At 44.2% G+C, this 26,129-nt stretch overlaps 1 long non-coding RNA gene and 1 pseudogene across 1 annotated transcript, besides 2 other annotated features; both read right to left on the reverse strand.

The window, feature by feature from the left end:
* Window positions 1–28: 28 nt before the first annotated feature.
* LOC105379030 (uncharacterized) lies at window positions 29–18,613 on the reverse strand. Its single transcript, NR_134252.1, has 2 exons — window positions 18,441–18,613; window positions 29–304 (listed from the first exon to the last, which is right to left on the reverse strand). It is a non-coding gene; the product is annotated as an uncharacterized LOC105379030 (long non-coding RNA).
* Window positions 18,614–20,430: 1,817 nt separating this feature from the next.
* LOC101060067 (40S ribosomal protein S3-like) lies at window positions 20,431–21,757 on the reverse strand (annotated as a pseudogene).
* Window positions 23,270–23,770: an enhancer, noted in NCBI's record as "H3K4me1 hESC enhancer chr5:72451076-72451576 (GRCh37/hg19 assembly coordinates)". NCBI's record gives its function as "activates a minimal SCP1, AML or CMV promoter by ChIP-STARR-seq in primed H9 embryonic stem cells {active_cell/tissue: H9 hESC(primed)}" and the evidence as "EXISTENCE:reporter gene assay evidence [ECO:0000049][PMID:30033119]".
* Window positions 23,771–24,271: an enhancer, noted in NCBI's record as "H3K4me1 hESC enhancer chr5:72451577-72452077 (GRCh37/hg19 assembly coordinates)". NCBI's record gives its function as "activates a minimal SCP1, AML or CMV promoter by ChIP-STARR-seq in primed H9 embryonic stem cells {active_cell/tissue: H9 hESC(primed)}" and the evidence as "EXISTENCE:reporter gene assay evidence [ECO:0000049][PMID:30033119]".

Below are 26,129 nucleotides of genomic sequence, written 5' to 3' on the forward strand. Positions count from 1 at the left end.
TCAATGACAAGGGAATGACAACAGGAGTGAGACTGTCTTAATTTATTCATTTGTACATTATACACTTGGACCTACAACCCTGGGTGGTAGGTGAGATTATTTTTATTGGTGGATAAAGAACCAAAGGTTCAGAGAGTCTAATTAACTTCTTCAAGGTCACATAGCTTCTACATGATGGGCTTGGTTTTGAACCCAGCTAGCTGGTTTCTGAAAGACAGGCTCACCACCTTGTGCTGTCAGAGGCCTACCAGCAGCAATGGTTAATGTTTAGCTTGGTCCATTCTCTCTCCAGGGTTAGCTGCTTCTGAAACAGAGAAACAAGATTACTCCCTTCATTTCTTTATTATTTCTTCTCTTCTTCCCTTCTCTCTTTCTCTCCCCTCCTCTTTTCTCCTCTTCTTACTCCCCTTTTCTTTTCTTTGCTTTTGAAAGAAGACGATTAGGGAGGCTTTATGCTGGGGCAGTCACAAGCATGTTCATACCCTGGAGTCTCTTTATAGTGAAATTTCTTGACAGGAAATTTCTAGGAACACTTTGGCAACTAGGTTCTCCTCAAGAGGCTCAGGAAGGATTTGCCTTTCTGTATGATGACATATTAGAACAAAACTGACTGAACCATTGCTTTTTTATTCTTATAAGGATACTGCTAGCCAAAGCCTGTTGTATAGTTGGGTGTGTTAATATGTATTTATTTAATGCTAGATCTAAACCTTAAGAAATAATGACTAATGGTATTTCCAACTGGAAGAAACTGATTTTTAGAATACGAAATCTGTAGTAACAGCTTTTTTGGTAACAACATTTAGTGTAGCAAAAATGTGAATTTTTTAATGCCTTTTACACAAGCCATAATCTCCCCCAAATTGGTTCATTCCAGCATTTAAGTGCCTGAAAGCAGAGCAAAGGGGCGTGCAGGCTCCAACAGTTTGACTGAAGTAATGACTGATTTCATGTTAATTGCCACTGAGATAAGTCAGGGTGGCAGTTGGTACCAGCAGTACTAATCTATTTTTAAATTGGACATTTATTGGCTTGAACTGCTCTTAAAATTCTGCTATTTTTCCTCCTGGGAGGTTAATTATTCACATTTAAAAATTAGAACAAAACTTCCTTCTGCCGCTGTTTAAAATGCCTGAGCTGAAACTTCTAGGTAGAATTACTTTTAAGCATTTATGAGTCCTCATATTAATCAAGAACCTTTTTAATGGCTCAGTGTTGGGGTTTGTAACTGGGTATTTTACATTTATATGCTATGCTAGTAAACTTCAGCAAGGGGGTTGCCAGGCTCAGGAATAAGTTTGATCTTCTGGTTATGGAATCTACTCCGGTTCCATCAGTCCTTCACAGTATTCAGCAAACCTGAGACTGAAGCTGAAGTCTTCAAACCTCCCAGCTTTGAAAATGCTGAAAGTGTGAGAATGTTTATTGTGGGGCTGAAATCACATGCAGCAGAGCTGGGCCAAATCATTTACCCCCAGCAAGACGCGTTCTTTTCCTAGCACGGTGCTGGCAGAGGATGACAGCTTCTGAAAGCCCCCTCGGTGGACTGTGCCTTGTTTTTCTTAGGTTTGTTAGCTTTTTTATTGAGGTAAAATTTGCATAATACAATGAACAATTTATGTTTGTATGTATGTATGTATTTCGAGACTGGGTCTCACTTTGTTGCCCAGGCTGGAATACAGTGATGCGATCACAGCTCACTGCAGCCTCTAACTCTGGGCTCAAGCCATCTTCCTACTTCAGCCTCCTGAGTAGCTGGGAGTACAGGCGAGTGCCACCACACCCAGCTAATTTTTTAAATTTTTCATAGAGATGGGATTTTACTATACTACCCAGGCTGGTCTCCAACTCCCAGGGTTCAAGCAGTCCTCCTGCCTTGGCCTCCCAAACTGTTGGGATTGCAGGTTATGGAAGTCTATTTCATTTCTATCAGTCCTTTGCCATATTCAGTGGGTGAGTCATTGTGCCCAGCCTACAATTAACCATTTTAAAGTGAACAATTCAGTGGCCTTTAATACGTTCACAGTGTTATACAAACCACCACCTCTATCTAATTCCAAATCATTTTCATCACCCTAAAATAAAACCCCACACACATTAAGCAGCCCCTCCTTCTCCTCCTCTATGCCTCAGCTCCTGGAAAACACCAGTCTGCTTTCTGTCTGTATGTGTTTACCTATTCTGGGTATTTCATATAAGTGGAATCATAAATATGTGACCTTTTGTGTCTGATGTCTTTCATTTAGCATGTTTTCATTTAGCATGTTGTAACATATATCAGTACTTCATTTTTTATGGCCAAGTACTACTCCATTGTGTGAATATACCACACTTTGTTTATCCATTCATCCATGGGTGGACATCTAGGTTGTGTCTACCTTTTGACCATTGTGAATGATGCTGCTATGAACGTACATGTGCAAGTATTTGTTGGAGTACCTGTTTTCAATTCTTTAGGGTATACACCTAGCAGCAGAATTGCCGGATCACATGTTAACTTTAAGTTTTGGAAGAACCACCAGCCTGTTTTCCACCATTTTACGTTTCTACCAGCAATGTGTTGAGGGGTCTAATTTTTCCATTTCCTCACCAACACTTGTTTTCTATTTTTAAAAAAGTATAGCTATCCTACTTGATATGAAGCAGTTTTTCATTGAATTGTATTTCTCCAATGGCCAATGATATTGAGTATCTCTTCATGTGTGTTACTTGGTTTAGAATACCAGACATTATCATCAGCACACAGAATCTTACAAATCTTGCTCCAAATTTTCCTCCTATGGCTTTGGGAGGTCTGATAGCCCCACTTTAGATACAATAGTGATGAGGTCTACAAATTCAGGTGGGACGACCCACCCTTGCCACCAGAGGATGAAAGCTGAGGGGCAGGCAATATTCACCCAGTTTCTACCTGAGAGTTTCACGTGGGGATAGGAAGAGTTATGGTGCCTGCCCCCTGCCCCAGTCATGTGGATGTGGCCATTGGTTTTCTGATATGGGTGCTGTGTTGAGCACTGAGGCAATGTGGGCAGTGGGTCTTTCCCGAAGGGGCCATCATTCCAGGGTAGGTCTTAGGAAAGGAGTGGGTCCAGAGACAGGAACTGGGAATTAGACCTCAGAACTGGCCTTAGGTCATGGAAGAGATACCTGGCAGTTCGGCCGATCAGCCAGGATCTTTCCTGAGAGCATATGCAGAGCTCAGGTGGGGCCCCTGTCAAGTGGTGGAAATTCCTGCAGTGTTTCCTAAATTCCAGGAAGATGAGAACCACCTAGAGTAATTGTTGAAAATGTCAAATTCCCCTGCCCAATAAATCTACCACCTCCTCCACCCCAGGAGATAATGTTTACCATCTGGGAATCTGGGAAATGCTGCCTATGGTGACAAGATAAACTGCAGAGGTCATACCCTGTGGGCTAGATAATCTGGGATTATGACCTCTCTTGTCGCTTCTTGGCCTTCTGGGGAGTCCTGTGTACATGTCCCAGCCTGTGCTAGGGGTTCTCATGGGGAGGGGTGTGGGTTCACACTCAGCCCCCAGCCGCCAGTGCTCATGGGGGCTTCCTACAGTCTCTCTGTCCCAGTGTCCCAGGAAGCTCTGTTGGTGAGACACCCACAAGGGCGTGGGAAACAAAGCCAGGGGCTCATCACCCTCCTGTTCCTCTCACAAGTGTGCAGTACCCCTCTATCTCCAGACGGGGGATCTTGGACTCATTTATTAAGGAAGGTGTGGTTTTTATCTTTGCTTCTTCATCTTGGAAGAGGCCAAGACTGTGCTCCGTGGGAGCACCAGATGATGTTTATCACAACAGGCAGAGATGGAGGAAAATGATATTTGGGTCAAAATGGAAAATACTGGAGACTTCAAGTGAGGAGTAGTGTGAAAACTGTCCTGGCCCTCAGTGCCCCCAACCCCTGGTGAATCAGGGTGGGTGACTTTCCCGGGTTAGGACGGTGGGCTGGCTTCTGCTGGCTGCTCCCTGGGTGCAGAAAACCCTGCTCCATGGGCCCCTGATGTAGGAGCTTCTCCCAGAGAGAGGGTAGTCAGGAAGCACACTGTGGGGGTGGTGGGCCTGAGGGGAGAAACGTCCTGGACTGTTGAAGGGGAACCATGCATGGTCTTCTGGCTTTGGCTTCGGCTGCAGGCCATAAGCCCTCCCGGGATCTTGCATACTTGGGATTCCTGGAGTCTCATGCATGCTGCCGCCAGCACGAGCACCCCAAGAGGAACCAAGTGGACAACTGGGATGCAGCTTTTCCTCCCTAAGGAATGCTTGGTGGGGGGAGACCCCTGCTCGGTATGGCATGTGACTGCTTGAAAATGCTGTCTGCCCCTGCCCGGCGACCTCCCCGGGGAGATATTGGCTGAGGTGAGGCCAGAAGTGTAGTGTGACATATCCCCTCCCTCCCCAAGGGGACAGGCCGGGCAGGCAGCAGGCTCATGAGGGCAGTGGGCAGCCACTTAAACACCGTGTGTTCTCTCCCAAAGCTGCTCAGAGCCGCAAGGGGCTGGAAGTTGGGCAGGGTGGGTGAGTGAGTAGGTCGCGGGGGAGGAAACTCCGCAGCTGTCCTGAGCCAAGCCACTCCCAGGACATTTCCTTAAAGGCTTTTGAATAGCAAGTGAATCCTGCCTGCTGGTACCAGGTAGGCCAAATAACTAATTTATAAGGGGTTTTCACGAAGCAGGAGGACTGTCTCTTTTCCTGGGAAGATAGGACTGAGTGGTCAGAACCCAGCTGGATGGAGAGGCTTGGAGAGCCTCTGCAGGGGCTGAGGCTCTTCCTCAAACTCAAAGTCTTCCTAGGGGACCAGATCCCACCCAGGAAGCAGCCATTTCTCTGTCTGCCTAGTGTCCTAGACCCCCCCTCCAGATGCGGCTGGTGGTGCACCTGCCTTTCCTCAGACCCATAGGTGTTACACTGCCTCCAAGATTCCTTTATGTAGGCTCTGAAACTCTGTTCCTTTCTCCTGGCGAAGCAGCGTAATTGTTTTGGGTAAAAACCTGGGGTTCCTCATCTTGCGCCAAGAAGATTAAACAGACGGACACATGAATGGGCTAAGGAGCAGAAAGTTTAATAGGCAGAAGGAAGGAGAAAGGAGAGTAGCTCTCTTTCGAGAGAGAGGTGTCCGAAAGGGAAAAGCCAGCCTTCGGTGGACTGCGCCAGACTTTGTAGGCAGGCTTGAGGAGGCGGCATCTGATTTACATAGGGCCCACAGATTGGTTCGATCAGGTGTGATGTTTACATGGTGTGTGGGGGAAGGCTGGTTTTCCCCCCAATCTTATTATGCAAATGGACTTTCTACTCTGCTAGCACCATCTTTTCAGCTCCTTACTGTATACATGGCTGGCAAAGAGAAGAAAACGGCAAATAGAGCCGCCATTTTGAACATGCCTGTTCCCAGGTAGCATTTTCCTATTGGCACAACTGTCAGCATTTGCCTGTCCAAGCTTCCAGCTTCCTTGTCTATATCTGCAGCTGGATTTTACAGGCTGGTCTTTGTTAGAAAACAAAATGATTTTGGGGGCTGCTTTTCATCAAAAGGAAAACCTTACCAAGGGCTTCCTTACCTTCACTATCTGCCTAAATAATTCCTTTTTAACTCCTATATCACTGGTCCTCCAGGCAGTAGAGTTGCTGGGAGCCTACCCTGCTGCTGTCTCAGCCTTTTCTGTCAAGCTGGAGTTTACCCCTAGGAGCCTGCAGGTGAGGACGGAAGCACAGGTCTTACAGGGGCCAGGCCTCTCTAAGCAACTTCCCTGCAGTATCTCATGGACTCATCCCTGCTGATCTGGGAAAGGTAACATGTTATTACAAGTCCTGCAGGTAGACTCTGGCAGAGCCAGAACCTGTGCCGAGGTCTGCCTGATGCCAAGGCCTGTGTCCGTCACAGCTGTGCACCGGGAAAGGATCTTAGCACCATTATATGTGGCTGTGGGCAGGCAACTGCCCCTCTCCCATCCTCGCCCATTTCTAGGGTGCCTTTCAGCTCTAGAAAGACACTAAAATTCCAGTCCAGCTCCTATAAGGGTCTCCTCCACTCCTTTCCCTAGGCTCCTGGCTTTGGAAACCTTTCCCTCTGGAACCTTGCCAGGTGGAAGTGGGATGAGATTAGAGAGGGCAAAGTGTCTGTCAAAGTTTCAAAAGGAAACTTCAAGTTCAGTGTAAGGCCATAGCATGCACCAGAGCGGCGTGCTCTTTGCTATTGGGCAGGCAATTTTGGTTCCCCAACCTGGGAAGAAAAATCACTTCAACACTTGCTACTTCAGTTGGAAATTCCCTTAGCACTGGTAATTGGCGGGAGCAGCACGGAAGAGCCGGGCAGAGGGTGGTCACAGCATGTAGCCTCTTCTGCAGGGAGTTGGGATGGACAGAATGGCCTGTGGTTAGGGGTGTGTGTGTGTGTGTGTAAGAAGAACCACAGAATGGTGCTGCCCAATGCCCCTGGAATTAGTCTTAGCTGGGCAATCTACAGAGACATAGTGAGGAGCCTAGGTGGGGCTGGGTCTTGAGCCCAGGTACAGCAGGGGAGGGGCTGGAGCCCTAGGCAGGCTGGTGGGGTGCAGCTCTGGCCAGGAACACCTCCCCAGCAAACGCTGGAGATTATAGAGACTGGCTGCCAGCCAGATCATGAAGTAGATAAGTGCTATCAAACAGCATGGCATGCTACTGAGAAATTTATTATTATTATTTGTAATATTAAAAGATTAAAAGAGCTGGGCATGGTGGCTCATGCCTATAATCCCAGCACTCTGGGAGGCTGAGGCAGGTGGATCACCTGAGGTTGGGAGTTCAAGACTAGCCTGGCCAACATGGTGAAACCCCGTTTCTACTAAAAATACAAAAATTAGCTGGGCGTGGTGGTGTGCGCCTGTAATCCCAGTTACTCAGGAGGCTGAGGCACGAGAATCACTTGAACTTGGGAGGCAGAGGTTGTGCCTACCACACTCCAGCCTGGGAGAAAACACAAGACTCTGTCTCAAAAAAAAAAAATTAAAAGATTAAAAGATCCTTGACAAGCGAGTGTACTTTTTCCACAAGTTCCCTGCTGTTAAGTGTCTATGTTGTTTCCAATTTTTTGCTATGAGGAAAAAAATGCTAAAATTAAGTTTTGTATTTTTGTCTGAAAGTTTTTATTGTTTCAGTTGTATTTATTTTGAATGTGTGTATATATAAAATATATATTACAATATATAATATGTATCTATCCCTACACATATTTGTGATGGTTAATTGTATGTGTCAGTTTGACTGGGGCAAGGGATGTCCAGATAGCTGGTAACATTAATTCTGTGGCGTGTGCCTGGAATCCTAGTTACTCCAAAGGCTGAAGCAGGAGAATTGCTTGAGCCCCAGAGTTGGAGGCCAATCTGGGCAACATAGTGAAAACTTCTCAATAAACATAAATCAATAAAGAAGCAAAAAATAAAAAACTTAAAAAAAATGAAAACTTTAAAAGCATTATTCCTGGGTGTATATTGGATTCCGGAAGAGGTTAACATTTGAATCCACTGGGTGAGAGCGAATCCAAAGAAGATCCACCCTCATCCAATTCATTGAGGGCCCTAATAGAACAAAACAGCAGAAGCTAGGTGAATCTGCTCTCTCTTCTTCAGCTGAGACATTCATCTTTACCTGCCCTCACACACCAGAGTTCCTTGTGCTTGGGAGTTTGGACTCCAGGACTTACAGGTCCCCTCCCTCCACCTGTTCTCCTGTTTCCTGACTTAGGCTGAAATTACACAACCAGCTTTGCTGTTTCTCCAGCTTGCAGACAGTATATTGTGGGACTTCTCAGCCTCCATAATTACGAGTCAATTTCCATAATAAATCTCTCTCTCTGTGACACACACACACAAACACACACACACACACACACACACTCCCTCTCTCTCTGTCCCGTATTGGTTTTGTTTCTCAGGAGAACCCTGACTAATGCAATATTATTGTCTTAATATTGAATCATTTGAGAGTAAACTGTCAACATTACAATTCTGTATCCCAAAATACTTCAGGATTTATCTCCTAAAAATAAGGATGTTCTTTTTAAAAGGCAACAGTACCATGATCCAAGTATCAAATTCAGGAAATTTAACATTGATACACTATTATTATCTAATATGCAATCCATATTATTTATTTACTTTTTATTTGGAGTCTCGCTCTGTCACCCGGGCTGGAGTACAGTGGCACAGTCTCGGCTCACTGCAGCCTCCACCTCCCGGGTTCAAGTGATCCTCTCACCTCAGCCTCCCAAGTAGCTGGGATTACAGGTGCCTGCCACCATCCCCAGCTACCATATTCCAATCATTTTATAATTTTTAAAATTTTTATTTATTTATCTTTTGAGACAGAGTCTCATTCCACCTAGGCTGGAGTGCTATGGCGTGATCTTAGCTCACTGCAGCCTCTGCTTCCTGGGTTCAAGCAATTCTCGTGCCTCAGCCTCCCGAGTAGCTAGAATTACAGGTGCACACTACCACGCCTGGCTAATTTTCCTGTATTTTTAGTAGAAACGGGGTTTTGCCATGTTGGCCAGGCTGGTATCGAACTCCTGACCTAAGTGCTGGAATTACAGGTGTGAGCCACTGCACCTGGCCTCCAATCATTTTTCTTAAGTCAGTTTTATTTCATTAATACAGACTACCGCTTCAGTCCATTTTTATTTTCATTTCACTGACCAGCCAGTGGTATAATGTCTTGCATTCTAGTCTCCTCAGAGAGTTGGTTGACATGGTTCTCTGTTCCCTGTATCCCTGGAAACTAGAACTAGAAGTTAGACCTAAAAGCTCATGTAGACTATTGTTAAACATTTAAACAAAAATACTTTAGAGGAAAAGCTGTATGTTTCAGACTTCCTCATATCAGAAGGCCCTTAATGGGAGGTTGCTCACATTTAGGGGTGCAAAGTGTGAACTCTAAGGTGGTGGCTGCTGAATCTTGGGGTAATATTTTGGCACAGTGCGAATCCCTGTTTGTTCCCCAGCAAACCTTTTGCTAATGGCTCTAGCATCCACTAATGACCCTTGCCTGTCTGATTCAATGATGTCATCACAGGCCTCTGTAAAGAAGGGCAAGCATTCATGCATCAACCAGGATGGACTACAGGTGTTCCTAAAAAGCCAGGATAAGAATTTCTTTTTTACCTTTAAATACCAATTTTCAGAGTGTATTAGTCTGCTAGGGCTGGCATAAGAAAATACCACACACTGGGTGGCTTAAACAGAAATTTATTTTCTCACAGTTGTGGGGACTGGAAGTCCAAGATCAAGGAAGTGGCAGGGTTGGTTTCTGGTGAGGCCTCTTTCCTTGGCTTGCAGATGGCCACCTTCTTGCTGTGCCCTCACATGGCCTTACCTCTGTGGGTCCACACTCTTCGTGTCTCTTCTTCTTATAAGGACACTTGTCTTTTTGCTTTAGGGCTTTATAAGCTGTCTTAATCTTAGTTACCTTTGGAAAGGTCTTGTCTCCAAATATTTTTACATCACCTTGGGGGTTAAGGCTTCAACCTATGAATTTAGGGGGTAGCAGGGAGTGGTACACAATTCAATCCATAGCACAGAGCAAGGAGTTGGTGTGAAAATCTCTACAGTAATGGCAAATGAGACTCTCTCTCCCTGGTTTTTTTTTTTTTCCTCTCTCTCTCCTGTCCCTATAAACTCATATAAAGTCATGAATTTCAATTAAATCAATGTTTTCTTTTATGTTCAAATAATTCCAAATTTGGTCAATCCTTTGTGGTGGTTCTTCTGTATTTTTGACATGTACCCCAGAGAGTAAGCTACCCTAGGCTCACTTTGTTTCCCTGCCCCATACCTGGAAAAGCCATTTCTCTAGCCCTGAATCCTTCTGTGGAAAATATATTTAGAAACCAAGATTTGGAGTTGAAGTTTGCTTATTGCTACTGAAGTGTCATTTCCAGCACTTTCAAGAGCTAAGAGATTTTTTTAAAACCATAAATTGACATTAACATTTCCAATTTAAATTTAACTTAACACTTTTTTTCTTAACTCTGTGTATTAGTCTGTTCTCACACTGCTATAAAAGAAATACCCGAGACTGGTTAATTTATAAGGAAAAGGGGTTTAATTGGCTCAGGGTTCCACAGGCTGTACAGGATGCATGGCAGCGTCTGCTTTTGGGGAGGCCTCAGGTAACTTTTACTCATGGCAGAAGGCAAAGTGGGAGCAGGTGTCTTACATGGCAGGAGCAGGACCGAGAAGTGGGCCGGGAGGAGAGGGGAGGCGCTACACACCTTTAAACAACCAGGTCTCATGAGAACTCTATCACGAGGCAGCACCAAGGGGATAGTGCTAAACCATTCATGAAGGATCCACCCCCATGATCGAATCGCCTCCCACCAGGCCCCACTTCCAACACTGGGGGTTGTAATTCGACATGAGATTGGGTGGGGACACAGATCCAAACCCTATCACTTTGATTTTATATTTTTGTTTCTTTTTTCTTACTCTGAAAATCTTGGTTTCTGTTAACACAATCCAGTTGCTGCATAAAATGAACTATCACATTTACCTATTTATTACACATTTACCTTGATTTATTGTATAATATAAAAAAGTTTCAAAATTACAATTCAATATTGTTAATAACAATAAAACTAGAGTTAAGTAACAAGATTTTTTGAAGATTTTTATCCTTCAAACATATCTATGTATGTGAAGTTAGAATAGTATATTAAACTCATTTAAATAATTTTTTCTTTGTTTTCATATTACCAATTTGATATATCATTAGGGTCATTTATTCATGTTTATATTCAACATTAAGGCTAATTTTGTTTTTTAATTTAATTTTATTTTTGAACACATACAACATATCCTGTATTAAAAAGTGTATGTAGAGAAGTCTCAATCCTATCCCTGTCTCATCTACCCTGTTCTACCTTCCAGTCTCTTTTTGCAATACATACACCACACACACACACACATGCACACACACTAATATATGCGGCCCTGCACCTTGCTTTTCTCATTTAGTTGTATCTCCTGGCAATCACTCCATATATAGCGAGGCTTCTCACTTTTTTGGTATGGCTGGACAGTGCCCCATTGTGTGACTGTACCATAGTTTCTTCAACTAGTCCTCTAATGATGGGCATCTCGATTGTTTCTAATCTTTCAATGTTACAAACAATGTCAGAATGAATCATCTTGTGCTTATGTTCCTTTTGATTTGTGAAGGTGTGTCTGCAGTGCAAACTCCTAAAAGTGTCATTGCTACTTTAAAACATAAATGCATGTGTAATTCTGTTAGATATTGCCAAATTCTCCTCCATAAGGGCTGTGCCATTTTGCACTTATTAGCAACATATAAATATGTCTATTTCCTTATAGCTTCGTCAATGGAAAGTGTCATCTAAATTTGACTTCTGCATTTTGGCTGATCTGATAGGTGAGAGGTTGGATTTGAGGACAGCCGTAATTTACATTTCTCTATGAGTGAGATTGAGCATCTTTTTAAATGTTAAAAGTGTTTTGAATCTTCTTTTTTGTGAACTATTTATATTCTTTGCCTATTATTTACTAGATTGTAGTCTAATTTTTTAAAAAATTAACCTAAATATTTTTTGATGTAAGAAAAGTCACTTTTCGCCTACCTGTCAGAGAGATACAAAACACAAAACCAAACCAACAAGTAAATATCTCAATACTGTGCTTTGCTCCCTCACCCCCAAACTCACTCTAAACAAAAAGTTTTGGTGATCCCTTACATTTTAACTTTTCTTCGTAGGCCCTATTGCATCGGCTGGAATGTTTTGGCACTAAACCATCATTTTATTATTTTTCAAAATCTTGGCCAGTCAGCTGGTTTTGTTAGATTGTGACATTAACGAAACAAAGGTTGCAGCTTTGATACCCACATGTGCTGCTGGCTCTACACCCAGAAAAGTTGTTCCCAGCCAGAAGCAGGGCTGCCCAGCTGCCTTACATGCAGACGGAAGTCCCAAAAGAGCAGCTGGGGATGGGGAGGTAATGGCGTCATCTCCAAACATAGTTCACTCAGGGGGTGAATGCCCCAACTCCTGGCTCTGGAGGCCTGATGTAGGTATTTGCCCGGGAATTTCACTGTGAGCTCAGGAGCCAGTTGAGAAGATACATGTGCCAAACAGGAAAGCATGCAGAACTCCATATCATGTGGTTCTGAAGCTGGCTGCCCCAAATGGAGTGACAGACAGGGCTCCCCAATGTGATCTCAGAAGTAGCCCTAAATATGTGCAAAGTTCCTGTATTCGTTATCTATTGCTGCATAACCAACTGGCCAAAAATGAAGGGCTTCAAAGAGCAAAACACATATATTACCTTGCATGTTTCTGTGGGTCAGCAATTCTAGTGGTTCAGCTGGGTAGCTCTCTGTGAGGTTGTGGTCAAGATGTCAGCCAGGACTGCAGTCCTCTGAAGGCATGACTGGGGCTGGAGAGCCCACTTCCAAGATAGTCACTGTTACAGATTGAATGTCTGTGTCCTCCTTAAATTCATATGATGAAACTTCATTCACAATGTGATGATATTTGGAGGTGAGGTCCTTGGAGGTGATTAGGTCATGAGGGTGGAACCTTCATGAATGAGATTAGTGTCCTTATAAAAGAGACCCCAGAGAGCTCCCTTGCCTCTTTCACCATGGGAGGACATGGCAAGAAGACAGCCATCTATGAATCAGGAAGTTGGCCCTCTCCAGACCCTGAATCTGCCGGTGCCTTGATCTGGGACTTCCCAGTCTCCAGAACTATGAGAAAGAAATATCTGTTGTTTATGAGCCACCTGGTCTCTAGTATTTTTGTTAGGACAGCCTGAACAGACTAGAACAGTCACTCACATGGCTGGCTGGTTCATGCTGGCTGTGGACTCAGCTCTTTCCATGTGGACTCCCACAGACATCCCAAAGACCATGCTGGAATGTCTTTTCAGCATGATGCCCAGGGCCCCTCAGAGCAAGAGATTGAAGGGAGAGCAAGGGGGATGCTGCAAGGGTTTTCAGGATCCGGTCTTGCAGTCACACACCATCACTTCTGCTAAACTCTATTTGTTAGAAGTGAATCACTAAGTCTGGCCCACACCAAAGGGGAGAGGAATTAGCCTTCACCTTTTGAAGGGAGTTGTCACAATGAATTTGTGAACATATTTAAGAATCACTACAGTTCCCAAGGCCAGGATGCTTTTTCTCTTATAATGAAAGCAGTGGGTGACTGCTGGGTGACTGCTGACCTGTGAGGCATGTTCACCTCCGGTACACCTAATAGTAAATCAGAAGAAGATGCAGCCTCCTTCCAGGTAGGTGGCTTTCCCCCTTAGGAGCTGAGTTTCATCACACCGGCCTTCAGTGTGGTGTCCTTTTGGATATTAACAGTCCTTTGACCTGTTAATATCAGTGGAACCAGTTAAAACACAGATTTCTGTGTCTCATCAAGAGATTCTATTCCAGTGGTCCAAGGGGCTAGTGAATCTGCATTGTTACAAGTGTTCCAGATAAAGTAAGCCCTTTGGCCCTGGCCCAGAAAAAGAGTGAGATGCTGACTTTTCTAGCACTGTGCTTCGGTGTCACCCACCAATCCCACCCCAACCCCACTGAGGGCAAGTTGGACCACATCGCTGTATCCTGTTGAGCACTCATAGCACCACACCTGGCAGAGGTAACCGTGTCATGAGTTTTTGGCGGATGGATGACAGATGGGAGAATGAATGAATTCAGGAATGATCTCAACTCAGTTGCACTGACTTTAATGATGCTTTTTCAAAAGTTAATATTTTCAACATCACCTAAGAGATTATTCCTGTGAAAAAAATGTTTAGCTTGATTCTCATGAGGCCTTTGACCCAACGACCTTTTATAGAAAATATAAGGGATAAAGGAATATGTTATGTGATATCTTGAGAAAATAGGATTTGGAGCATTCAGTAAGATGACTGGCTTGGAGTCTTGACAAAGTCAATGTCACAGGGGGAAAATGGCTGGAGTATTGTTCTAGATCAAGGGCTGGTGAACTATGGGCTGCGGGTCTGTTGCCTGTTTTTATAAATAAAGTTTCATTTGAACATAATGATGCTCACTAACTTAGGTATTGACTATGGCCGCTTTTGTGCTATATTGACATGGCTGAGCTATTGCAACAGAAACAGTGTTGCCTGAAAACCTAATGTGTTTACTATCTGGCTCTTAAGAAAAAGTTAACTGACCCCTGCTCTAAATGAGAAGAGATTAATGACTCTTCTGCTTCCACCCATGGCATAGTAACTAGTACTGGCTGGCCATCCTGCCATACAAAACTAGAAAGTTGGGTAAATATATCAAATAACTGGTTTCAGACATAATTGGTAGGACAGGGCTCTAATCAAGACAGAAAGGAAACAAACAAGGTGAGCCTTCCAACCACCCAGACGTTCTGTCAGAGCCATTTGCTGAATTCCAACACAGAGAGGGAGAAGCTAAGCAAAATGCAGAAGTCTCACTGAGCTGAAGACACAGATACTGGAGTTCGGGGAGACTAAGGCAGAAAGAACCCTTTAGAAGAAGAAACTACGCAGAGAAAGAATTCCAGGTTGGCAGAGTGCAGTGCCTCATGCCTGTAATCCCAGCACTTTGGGAGGCTGAGGCGGGAGCATGTTTGAGCCCAGGAGTTCGTGACCAGCCTGGCCAATATGGTGAAACCCCATCTCTAGTAAAAATGCAACAGTTAGCTGGGCGTGGTGGTGGGTGCCTGTAGTACCAGCTGCTTGGGAGGCTGAGGCACAAGAATCACTGGAACCCAGGAGGTGGAGGTTGCAGTGAGCCAAGATTGCACCAGGGCAGCAGAGCAAGACTCTGCCTCAAAAAAACGAAAAAAAAGATTTCCAGATCATAGGGTTCCCTTCGAGTCTTTGGCTAAATACCAATCGGCACTTGTGCAGAGTGAGGCACCACAAGGTGGATCAAAGCACCACCGGGGAAAGAATGGTTGCCAGGGAACTGTGAACTAAACAAATTCTGGAGCTTATACAGAGTTGGGAGATGCTTAAAATTTGAACAACCAGAGTGAAAAGACCTCATTGGACACCAAGGGCTTTGAGTAGAGTACCAGAAAGACCACATCTCAGGATTAGGACCAAACTAACCTAAAATAAAGGCTACTCTAGATCTTCCTCAAAAAAAAGAATAGGTCAATCCATTAATGAATCAACTGCCTACAAAAACAAAATGCAACAGTCTTTAAAGGAAGGCAATCTAGGCTGGACGCAGGGACTCACACCTCGAATCCCAGCACTTTGGGAGGCTGAGGCAGGAGGGTTGCTTGAGCCCAGGAGTTCAAGACCAGTCTGGGCAACATAGTGAGACCCCCTCCATCTCTACAAAAAAAATCGAAAAACTAACTGGCTGTAGTGGTGCTCACCTGTAGTTCTAGCTACTTAGGAGGCTGAGGTGGGAGAATCGCTTGAGTTGGGAAGTTGAGGCTGCAGTGAGCTGAGATCACGCCACTGCTCTCCAGCCTGGGCAACAGAGCAGGACTCTGTCTCAAAAAAATAAATAAATAAAAAGAGAGAGAGAGAGAGAGACAATATAGATGCCTTTAGCATTTTATTCCAAATGAATTTTGAATTTTGTCAAATGCTTCTGCGTCTGCTAACCTTTACCTAGTGTCATATTTTTTGGTGAAAGACTGAATGTTTTCTCTAAGATGAGGGCCAGGGAAAGGAAGTTTTCTTTCATCACTTCTGTTAAACATTTTGCTGTGATCCTAGCCATACAAAAAGTCAAGAAAAAAGAAACAAAAGCACATATGTTGGAAAGGAAGACGTAAAACATGATTGTGACCATAGAAAATCTCAAAGAGTTTACACAAAAGCTGCTAAAACCAAAAAGTGAATTTAGTAAGGACGCAGAACACAAAATCAATATACATAAATAAATTGTATGTCTATATATCAGTACAAACAATTGGAAAATGAAATAAAAATCCTATTTACAATACCAGAGAATAATGTTTTATAATAATATGATTAATATTTAGAATAACACACACACACACCCTGTGTACTGATAACTCTAAAACATTTCTCAAAGAAATTAAATCGGTATTAAATGAATGAATGAACCAGAAGAGCCAAAATTATTTTGGAAAATAATAACAATTCCGAAGATTTACACAACTGATTTTAAGACTACTGTAAACAATAGTAATCAAGACACTGTGATATTGGCAGAGGATAGCCATACAGATCAATGAACTAGAATACAGTCCAGAAATAGACCCATATATATGGTCAATTGATTTTTTTTTAAATAAATAGGCCAAGGTGGTTCAATTGGGAAAATAGAGTCTTTTCAACAAATGGCACTGGAACAACTGGGTATATGTGTGGGAAACAAAGCAAAACAAAAACAAACAACAAACATTAGTTCCTATCTGATGCCGTATACAAAAATTAACTCTAAATGGATTATAGGCCTAAATGCAAAAGCTAAAACTACACAACTTCTAGACTAAAACATAGAAGGATATCTTGGTAACCTTGAGGTAAGCAAAGACTTCTTAGACAGGACACAGAAAGCACCAACCATGAAGAAAATATTGACAAACTGAGCTTCATCAAGATACAAAATTTCTGCTTTTAAAAGACAATATTAATAAAAAGAAAAGTCACCTGGGTACTTGAAAAGTCATCACTGACCGGCAGAAGATATTCGTAATACATAAATCTGGCAAAGGATTTATATGTAAATCTCAATAACAAAAAGATAACTTATGACCTGGCGCGGTGGCTCATGCCTGTAATCCCAGCACTTTGGGAGGCTGAGGCGGGTGGATCACCTGAGGTCAAGAGTTCAAGACCAGCCTGGCCAATATGGCGAAACCCCATCTCTCTAAAAATTACACAAAAAAATTAGCCAGGCATGGTGGTGCATGCCTTTCTTCCCAGCTGCTCGGGAGGCTGAGGCAGGAGAATCACTTGAACCCAGGAGATGAAAGTTGCAGTGAGCTGAGATTTGTGCCCCTGCACTCCAGCCTGGGCAACAAGAATAAAACTCCCTCTCAAAAACAAACAAACAAACAAAAACCCAAAAACTTACTTTTTAAAAAGACAAAATATTTGAACAGACATACTACAAAAGGAATATATATATATATATATATATATATATATATATATATATATATGCGTGGCCAAGAACCACACAAAACAGCAGCTCTGGTTATCAGGGACATGCAAATTAAGACCACACAGAGATACTACTACACACCCACGAAAATGGCAAAAAGTAAAGGATTGATAATATCAAGCATTGGTGAGGATGCGGAGAAACTAGAACTCTCATATGTTGCTGGCAGGAGTGCAAAGTGTTGTCAACATTTTGGAAGCAGTTTGGCAGTTTCTTATAAAGTTAAATATACACTTATATGATCCATAAATTCTACTCCAGATTTTTACCCCAGAGAAATGAAAACATATGTCTACAAAAAGAGTTTTACAAAAATTTTCATAAAGACTTTAATCAGAATGGCCTAACACTGGAAACAATCCAAATCTTCATCAGTGGGTAAATGGATAGGCAAATGGTGGTAGACTCATGCACTAGCATACTACTCAGCAATGAAAGGAGCCACCCACTCACATATTCAACAACATAGGTGAATCCCAGGTAGATCAGACTCGGCGAAAGAAACCACAGAAGATCATAAACTGTATTATCACATTTATGAAGTTCTTGAGCAAGCAAAGCTGCCTATAGATAGAAAAATCAGATCAGTGGCTGCCTGGAGTCGGGGCTGTGGGGGTGAGAGGAGGAGAGATAGGCTGCAAAGGGAGAAGGAGTGAACTTTGTAAATATTTTGACTGTGGTGGTAGTGATAAGGACATACACATTTTTTTTTTAACTCATCCAGTATGCACTTAAAATGAATGTATTAACATGTACTGAATGTTAGTTTTACTTCAGTAAAAAAAATTTGTTTTAAATAGACTAAAGAGAAGTAATAACCAAATGCAACATCTGATTCTCAGTTGGATGCTGATTTGGCAAAACCAAAGCTATAAAATATATTTTTAGGATGACTGGGAAATTTTGCATATGGCTTGGCTATTAAATAATATTATAGAATGGGTGTTAATCTTCTTAGGTGTTAAATAGAGGTATCTAACTTCCTGTTCTTAGGAGATGCATGCTGAAGTATTTAGGAATGAAACATACTATTGGCAACTTATTTTTAAATGGTTCAATAACAACAAAAATATGTACACAAATGCAGAGATGAAACTCATCTGGCAAGCATTAAAATTGTTGAAGAAGGTGGAAGACATATAGATTTTCATTGTACTTTCAACATTTCTGACTTTTCAACATTTTCCCACAACTTTCCACAATAATAATAAAAATTGAGGGGGAAATTTAATGTAGAGTTGTTACGGATTACTCCAAAGTCTATAAATTCTTCCTTAGAAGATAACACTTACAAAGACATGGTTGCAGTCATAATTTCCTCCAAATTCTTCTAAGAGCTTGGTTTTGAACAGAACCCCTGGCACAAACAGCAATGCCAACGTTAGCAGTAAAGCCACGCTGCGATGGGACGCCCAGTGGTTGGAGCTTGGTTGGCCTTCCAGCCTCCTTGGCTGGTATCTGGGGCGAGGATGATGGCAACGTGCTGGATCAGGAACACCAAGGCTGTGGGCAGGAGTGGGCAGCAGCTGGGGCCTCTTTTCTGCTGTCCTCCCTGGGAGGGAAGTAAATGGTTAACCAGTCACCCACCCCTGGCACTTTGCAATCCTTCTCTGCGCCTGCACAGGGCATTCTCTGGCTGAATTCTGCCAGCCAAACTAAAAGTCTCATAACAAAGTAATGGGATAAACAAGGCCCAGGTGATCCTGTTTGCTAAACAGTGAAAACCAGATCCACACAGGCACTTTACAAAAGGCTACACACACATATGCAAAAGTGTCTCCCTGCAGACCTCAAATTCACTGTTACTCCGGGACAGTACCCAGAGCCTCGGACAGATGAGGTTTTGGGAAGGCGAGGTCTTGGAGATAATGTGGGAAGGACAAAAAATCCAGAAAGTGTTTCCTTATTAGGTGGGAGGGAGGAGGGTGGAGCCAGTGAAGGGGAGGGAAATAGAGTCTAATGGGCTGAGGAGAGGGCGAGGCAGTGAGGCCTTTTGTACCTTGGCAGGTGAGAGGGCTGAGTTCAAGGAGAACATGTGGCCGATGGTGTGGGAAGTTACAGAAACTTCGTCAGGGGTTAAAGGCAGGAAAAAGTTCACTGGGTTTGGCCGCTTTGTGGGCCCTGGGGACCAAGGCCAGAGTATTTTCCTAGGGGTGGGAAGGTGGAAGGGCCTTCAGGATTGCACAGGAAGGGAGGAAATGGAGGCCTGGGGAATAAATAATTTTGTCAAGAAGTTTGATCCTATACGGTGATGGCTGCAGAAGTGGGCATCTGAGTGGGGATGGAGGAGAGGGTTTTGCTCTTTAGTGTCTGGAGCCCTGAGTGTACTCAGGCTGAGTGGAGAGAACCAGCTTATTACAGAAGAGGAGCGTCTTCTGCTGCAACCCTCTCCTTGGCAATGAAAGCAGAAGCAGCAGCAACAGCAAACAGGAGCATCTGGAAAGAGTCTCTTTGAGAACCTGAAATTGGCCACAGTGGTTTTTGAGGAAGGAGCTACTGAAAGCCAGTTTTCCTAAAATAAAAATCATGCTGGTCAGACTCATGGTTATAAGGAGCAGAAAGCTAATGAGAGTAGCTCCCGAGAAGAGGGGTTGGTTGTAAGCTGTGCACCTGCGAGCCTTGGAGGAAGGCTGAGACCACACTCAGGGCTACCAAAGACTGATGTAAGAGGTGCTTTGTTGTTATTGTGTTGACAATTTAAATGTTCCTTACAGTTTTCCAGAACAGAATGGTCAAGAGAGCAGAACTTAGGAATGTGGATTCTAATGCCAGCTCCATACTGCTCAGGCAAATTTGCTTCTGAGCCTGAGCTTCAGTGGTGCAGCACATTTCCTTTCCACGTACCAGATGTTGAGGAGTAAATGATTGTGAATGCAAAGAACATTTAGCACAGTATGACGCACACTATAATGGCCATTGTATTTACTTTCTATGTGCAATGCGTATTTCCTTAGGCATAGGAAAAATCATTCTAAATATATCCCCCTTCTAAAGCTACAATCCTGAATTACAGAACAGTTAATTGAGGTGCTGCCCTGCTAGCCATCAGCCTTCACTCTCACATGGGACATTCCTCTGGTTAGCTCTGCTTGGGTCCTCCCGTGCTGGGCCCTGCAAATTCCTTAACCAAGAGGTCAAGGAATGCTCTGCAGGCCAACATGCCCCTCAGTCTGAACACTGGACATACAGTCGAGTCAGGCTTTGTGCCTTTGTACAAGATTTTATTAAAGGCCTTTCCAGGACAACATCCAGATGCCAGACACAGCTGTCAAGGAGAACCTGTCATGTTGTGGGGGTTGGCTGCGGCATGGCAGGAGCTATGGCTTCCTCCCCACCCTTCTATTCTGAGATGGGGTAGTGGGCAGTACTTCATCTTTGGGTTCCACGATACTCATGTGCTCAGGCAGGGCCTTCCTAGAGTCAGTCTTACCAGCTGGGTCCCAGGGCAGCATGACCTTCCCTTGATGGCCAGCACACCCTGTTGGAGCAGCACCTGGCACATGGCGGTGTCAATGAGGTAAACAGAGTTCCTGCTGAGGATCATCAGGTCATCCACAAACTTCCTGCATTTAGAGTTTTCAGACACCACAGCCTTGAAGCCTGTGGCCCCCTACGCCCCGCCTGATGAACCACAGCACACCACAGCAGGCCCTCTGCGCTGCAAGCCCTCCCAGGAGGTAACACTGAGACTCCACCTAGGCAAACACACACATACCTCTTGTGGCTACCTTTCCAGCAAAAAGCTCTACACTGCCCTCTGGAAGCCAAACCTCTTCTGAACTACAGCAGGCAATTTCCAAATCTGCCAGCCCTTCTCACCAAGAACATTCTGTGTTTTGGTGGCTAAGATTATGATTTTGAAGCAGCGTCATTTGTCTAGAGTAGTAACCGAGGTTCGTTGCCTCACACCAAGGAAATCAAGGATGTGGACACGTAAGGAGTGAGGTTAGGAGCAGAGGTTTAATAGGCAAAAGAAAGAAAAAAGCTCTCTCTCCTGCAGAGATGGGCTCCCAAGCAGGTTTTTCAGTTTCATGGTGAAATGCACAGCGTTTTATAGATGAGCTTGAGCAGACGGTTTCGATTGGTGGGACCAGGTGTGTCATTTACATAGCTTGTAAAGAAACTGGCCATACCACCCTTATTTTTTATGTGATGGGTTCTCTACCTGGCCTGTGCCATGTTGCCTGTTCCTTTATTGTACATGTGGTTGACAAAGAAAAGGGAAGATGGAGCCTCCATGTTGAACATGCCTGACCCCCGGGTAGCCTTTTTCTATTGGCACAGCTGCTGGCATTCTCCATGCAAGCTTCCAGCTTGTTTATCTATGTTTGCAGCTCAATTTTACAGGCTGCTCTTTGTTAGAAAATAAATGATTCGGGGGCTGCTTTTTGTTAAGAGAGAAGTCTTGCCGAGGATTCTCTTACCCTCACTATCTGCCTAAATAATTTATTTTAAGCTCCTGTATTAATTCCTGTTCTGGTTGACGTAATTTGGACCTCAACTCCAGAGTAGCCATCCTCAGCCAGCTCTCGAGTGAGAACTTTTTCAGTTCCACTTTGAGGATGCCATCAGTGACAAACTTCCTCTTCTTGGAGATCTGCACCCCCATCTTGCCACCGTGTGCCTCTGAAATGAAGGGCCAATGCGAGAGTTTTATCCTCTCTGCAGCAGAGTCCTTCTCTTGCGGGCAGGTATCTGCTTGTCTTTAAACAAAGATAGACCCTTTTCTCCTCTCTTGGTCAACCAGTGTCCTCCACTTCTCGAAGTTTCTGCTCTTGAGTTTTGTTTATATAGGACCCGTATGGAAGCTCCTTAGTGCCCCTTGCCCTCTTTCTACACCACGGCACTTCTATTGCAGCCAACAGTCTCGGTCTGCTAGATTCCCTGTTTCTCACTGAGAATCTATTTTTGAAGCTGGCCTTACAGGTCCTAAGTCCCTCCCTGCCAGGATGACCAGCTTGTCCCAGGTGGCTCAGAACTTTTCTAGTTTCAGCACAGAGAGTTTTGCATCCTGGGACCCCCCTCAGTCCAAGGCAAACCAGGATGCTTGGTGACCCCCACCCTGTCTCTGGAAGGGCTGCCCTTGAATCAGTTTCCCACCTCAGGCCCATCGGCCAAGAGAAGGTGATCCGGGTCACCTGGTGTCCAACAAGGCCTCAGTCTTTCAGTAGGGGTGGGTGGCTTCTCTGGGAGAGGGACCATGAATTGGGCCAGCAATGATCAACCTCTCCAGTTAAAACTATACTTAGATGAATTACTCATTAGAAGGGAAGGAAGTGAGGCATTATAAGTATACGTGTAGCAGTTTGATGCAGTAGAAAGCACATTGAATTGGAAGTCAAAATGCCTGGTTTCTGCCTCTGAACAGCAATAAAATCCCAGCATCAAACAGTTCATCTTTCTGAGCCTCAGTTTCTCCATCTGTAAAATGAAAGGTTTAATTTAGGGCTTGCTTCCTTTTTAACTTATGTTAGAGTTACTCCATATTCTTCAAGACATAATCTGCTATCATCATTATTAAATTCTTCCCTTTCCTCTCCTCCCTTCTTCCCTGTTCCCCTTCCTCTCCCTTCCTCCCTTCCCCTTCCTTCTTTCCTTCCTTCCTTCCTTCCTTCCTTCCTTCCTTCCTTCCTTCCCTCCTTCCTCCCTTCCTCTCTCCCTCCCTCCTTCTCCATTCCCAGCACTAATTCCTTTCTTCCCAACAGGCCACTACATCAATGTGAAAGATATTTATCCTTGAATAGGTATGTAGTTCTATAAGATATGATTATTATTTTGTGTATTTATTTAAAATTTACATATATTACATTATGTTATAGTCCTCATTTGCTTCCTAACGTTTCTTACTCAGCACCATTTAAAAATATATCCGTGGTGCTGGCTGTTGGTCTTTAAGACTCCTTCCAGAGTGGCACTTTATGAACCTTGTTTAGTATTGCAGAACGCTCTGTTATCCAAAGTTCTTCTACTTTGAATCAAATTATTGGTGGGCTTTTTAGAGGGGACCAAAGGGACAAGAAAGTATTACTCCAATGTTGGACAACTTTGGTCTGCATGAAAGGACCTAAATGGATTAATATATAGAGGACATTAAAGAGGAATAAATGAAGTACTGGGTGGCAAGAACCGTTGTGAATTCATCTTTGGCCCTTAATCTTGAAACTATGAAGCCATCTATGAAGCCAAAACTATGAAGCCGAATTCACATGCACGATTCCTGGAACAGCTTACCTCCTATGTGGAGCTGGCAGACATTCTCCAAGAGGAGGCAGGAAGAGTTCTCAGGCTCTCACTCACATATCATCAAGCATAGAAAAACTGCTTAAGACCTCAGCCAGAGATTGAACCCAAATCGGAAGACCTGTCCCCGGGGGGCCAATCTCTGTGGCTCAGAGGAGGCAAAGGAGACCCAGCCGCATCCCTCCCAGAGCGTTCTGTGGTTGTTAGCAGACGGGCTAGTGCCTCGCAGGTTGAGCAGCTCTCTTGGTGGCATTGAGGCTGAGGGAGCCATGTGGAGCCTGGGAATGGGCTGCGGGTGGGGAGCAGCTGTGGAATAGCCCCTCCTGGCTCTGCCTGCCTATGGCTGGGAGAACAGTTTCCATTTCAGGCAGCAGCAATTCACACTGGGTGGTCTCTGCCTTCCCTCCCTCAGTGCCTCAGTGCCACAGGCAACTGCCAGCAGGCTGAGAAAAGCACAGCTCCCCTTGGAGGACAGAGGCCTGTGCGAGGAGGCTGTTCTCTCCCACACTTCTGGCTCACAGGGTCTTCATCTCCACTCAGGCCTCTCAGCAAGCTCTGGAAAGACCTCTCGCAGCTCCGCTGGTGAGGCCTGTGAGCCAGGGCAGGGGCGGGGGTTGCTTTATGTTCCCCCGGTGACACACTTCCCGACCTACCTCAACTTTACAGAGGCACATGTTGACTCTATTCCAGGCCTTAACTATTTCTGTTCCTTTGAACATGTAAAACAAACAAAAACAACAATGAAACACAAAAACCAATAATAACAAATATAATAAAAACTCTGCAAATGCCCCTGAGGGTTTCCAGCCCCGCTCTCCACATCTCAGCCGACTTGGTGTTGAGATGCGTGCTTTCTGCCTCGGGTTGTATGATCTCTGAGGAGGAGATCATGGTGGCTGTGGGATTATATACACACGCTTTACCAAGATGTCTTCCTTTGCAGTGACAGGACTTAAGCTGACTCTAGGAATCAGAGAAGGTTCACTTTTGCCTTCAGGCCTAGGAGCAGCTCATCCTCAGTCCCCAGGCAGTGCCTCCCGGGGCTGCCTTCAGGGCCTCCTGACAAGGGCCTGGGTGCTTTACCCCCACCATAGACTCAAGCACTCAAGGAGAAAGTTTCCAGAAACTGAACAGGATGAAGTAATTATAGCCGAAAGTCACTGAACTTACTACGCTATGTGTTCTCTGTATGATCTCACTTGATCCTGATAACCTTATGATGTAGGTCCCATCATTCATAAATGAGGAAACTGAGGCTCAGTGAGGCTAAGCAGCTGGCCCATTTACATAGCTAGTGATTGGAGAAGCCAGAATTTGATTGTAGAAAAGACTCCAAAGCCTGTACTCTTAACCGTGACATGCATGGAAGCGCGCGCACACACACACACACACACACACACAATTGACATATATGTGCATTCTTTGGTCTCTACAGTGTAATCTTTTTTGTAATATTCACAAATCATACGTTGTTAGAAATGGAAGTCATTTTAGAGATTACCTATCTGACTCCTCCCCAACTTTTACTTCCATAGAAAAGGAAACTGGGGACCTACCTTAGAGAAATAGTTTTCAAACCTGAGCAAGCATCAGAATCACCCAAGGGACTGGCTAAAACACAGACCTCTGGCCCCATCTCCAGAGTTTCTAATTCTGTAGGTCGAGGTGGGGCCCAAAATATATATTTCTAACAAGTTCCCAGGTGCTGCTGCTGCTGGTTCTGGGCCCCCACTTGGAGAACCGCTGCAGTAGAGTAAATTGGACATGTGAAGGCCTGCAAGACCCACTGCAGTGTTGTTACTTGAACGTGCTTAGCAATGTTGATGAGGCCTGGACAAACATGTCCCCTGGTCACTCTTAGCAGACTCATTCGTCCTTTACTAACTCTCTTTGGGTCTCAGCAACAGAAACAGAATGTGGCAGGCAGAATTCTAAAAATGCTCCCCGCTAAAAAAAAAAAAATCCCACATCTTTATTCCTCAAAGCCTGAGAACATGTGGCATCGTTCCTATGATTGTGTTATGTTATACGGCACAGTGGACCCACAAAAAGGGAGTATCTGGGTGGGTGTAATTTAATCACATGGCTCCTTAAAACCGGATAACTTTCCATGGCTGTTGTGGCAGAAGAGTAGGGCAGAAAGGGGGAAATCAGAGAGACTTGAAGCTCAAGAGCTTGGCTAGTCTTGCAGCACTATTGCTGTTTTGAAGATGGAGCGGCCCAAGTGAGAAGGAATGTGGGGGGCTTCTAGGAGCAGAAAGGAATTTCTGGCAGGGAATTGGAACCTCAGTCTTATGTTGCTTAGGACCAAATTCGGCCAACAGCCTGAATGAGCTTGGGAACAGATTATTTCCTGAGCCTCCAGATAATACAGAGGGATGCCTGACCTACAGAACCGTGAACGAATAAATGAATGTAGTTTTAAGCCTCTAAGTGTGTGGTTATTCTGAAGTGGAAACTAACATACAAGTACATAAATTCCTGAGCTCAGAAGCAAGCCCACTGCAGACCTACTCCATCCAGAAGCTTCTCACACCAAGAGCTGGGCCTCTGGGAGGCTCACCTTATCATTTGCTGGAAATGGCAGTGGCTGTGACTTAAATTCCAGCCCCATCAAGGTAGTTTTCAGTTCAGTTGGTGTCTGAGTGCATTTTCTGCTGCTATAAAGGAATACATGAGGCTGAGTCATTTATAAAGAGAAGTTTATTTGGCTTATAATTTTGATGACTGGGCATCTGCCT

Source organism: Homo sapiens, chromosome 5, assembly GCF_000001405.40.
Source record: "Homo sapiens chromosome 5, GRCh38.p14 Primary Assembly".
In the NCBI taxonomy this organism is placed as follows: domain Eukaryota; kingdom Metazoa; phylum Chordata; class Mammalia; order Primates; family Hominidae; genus Homo; species Homo sapiens.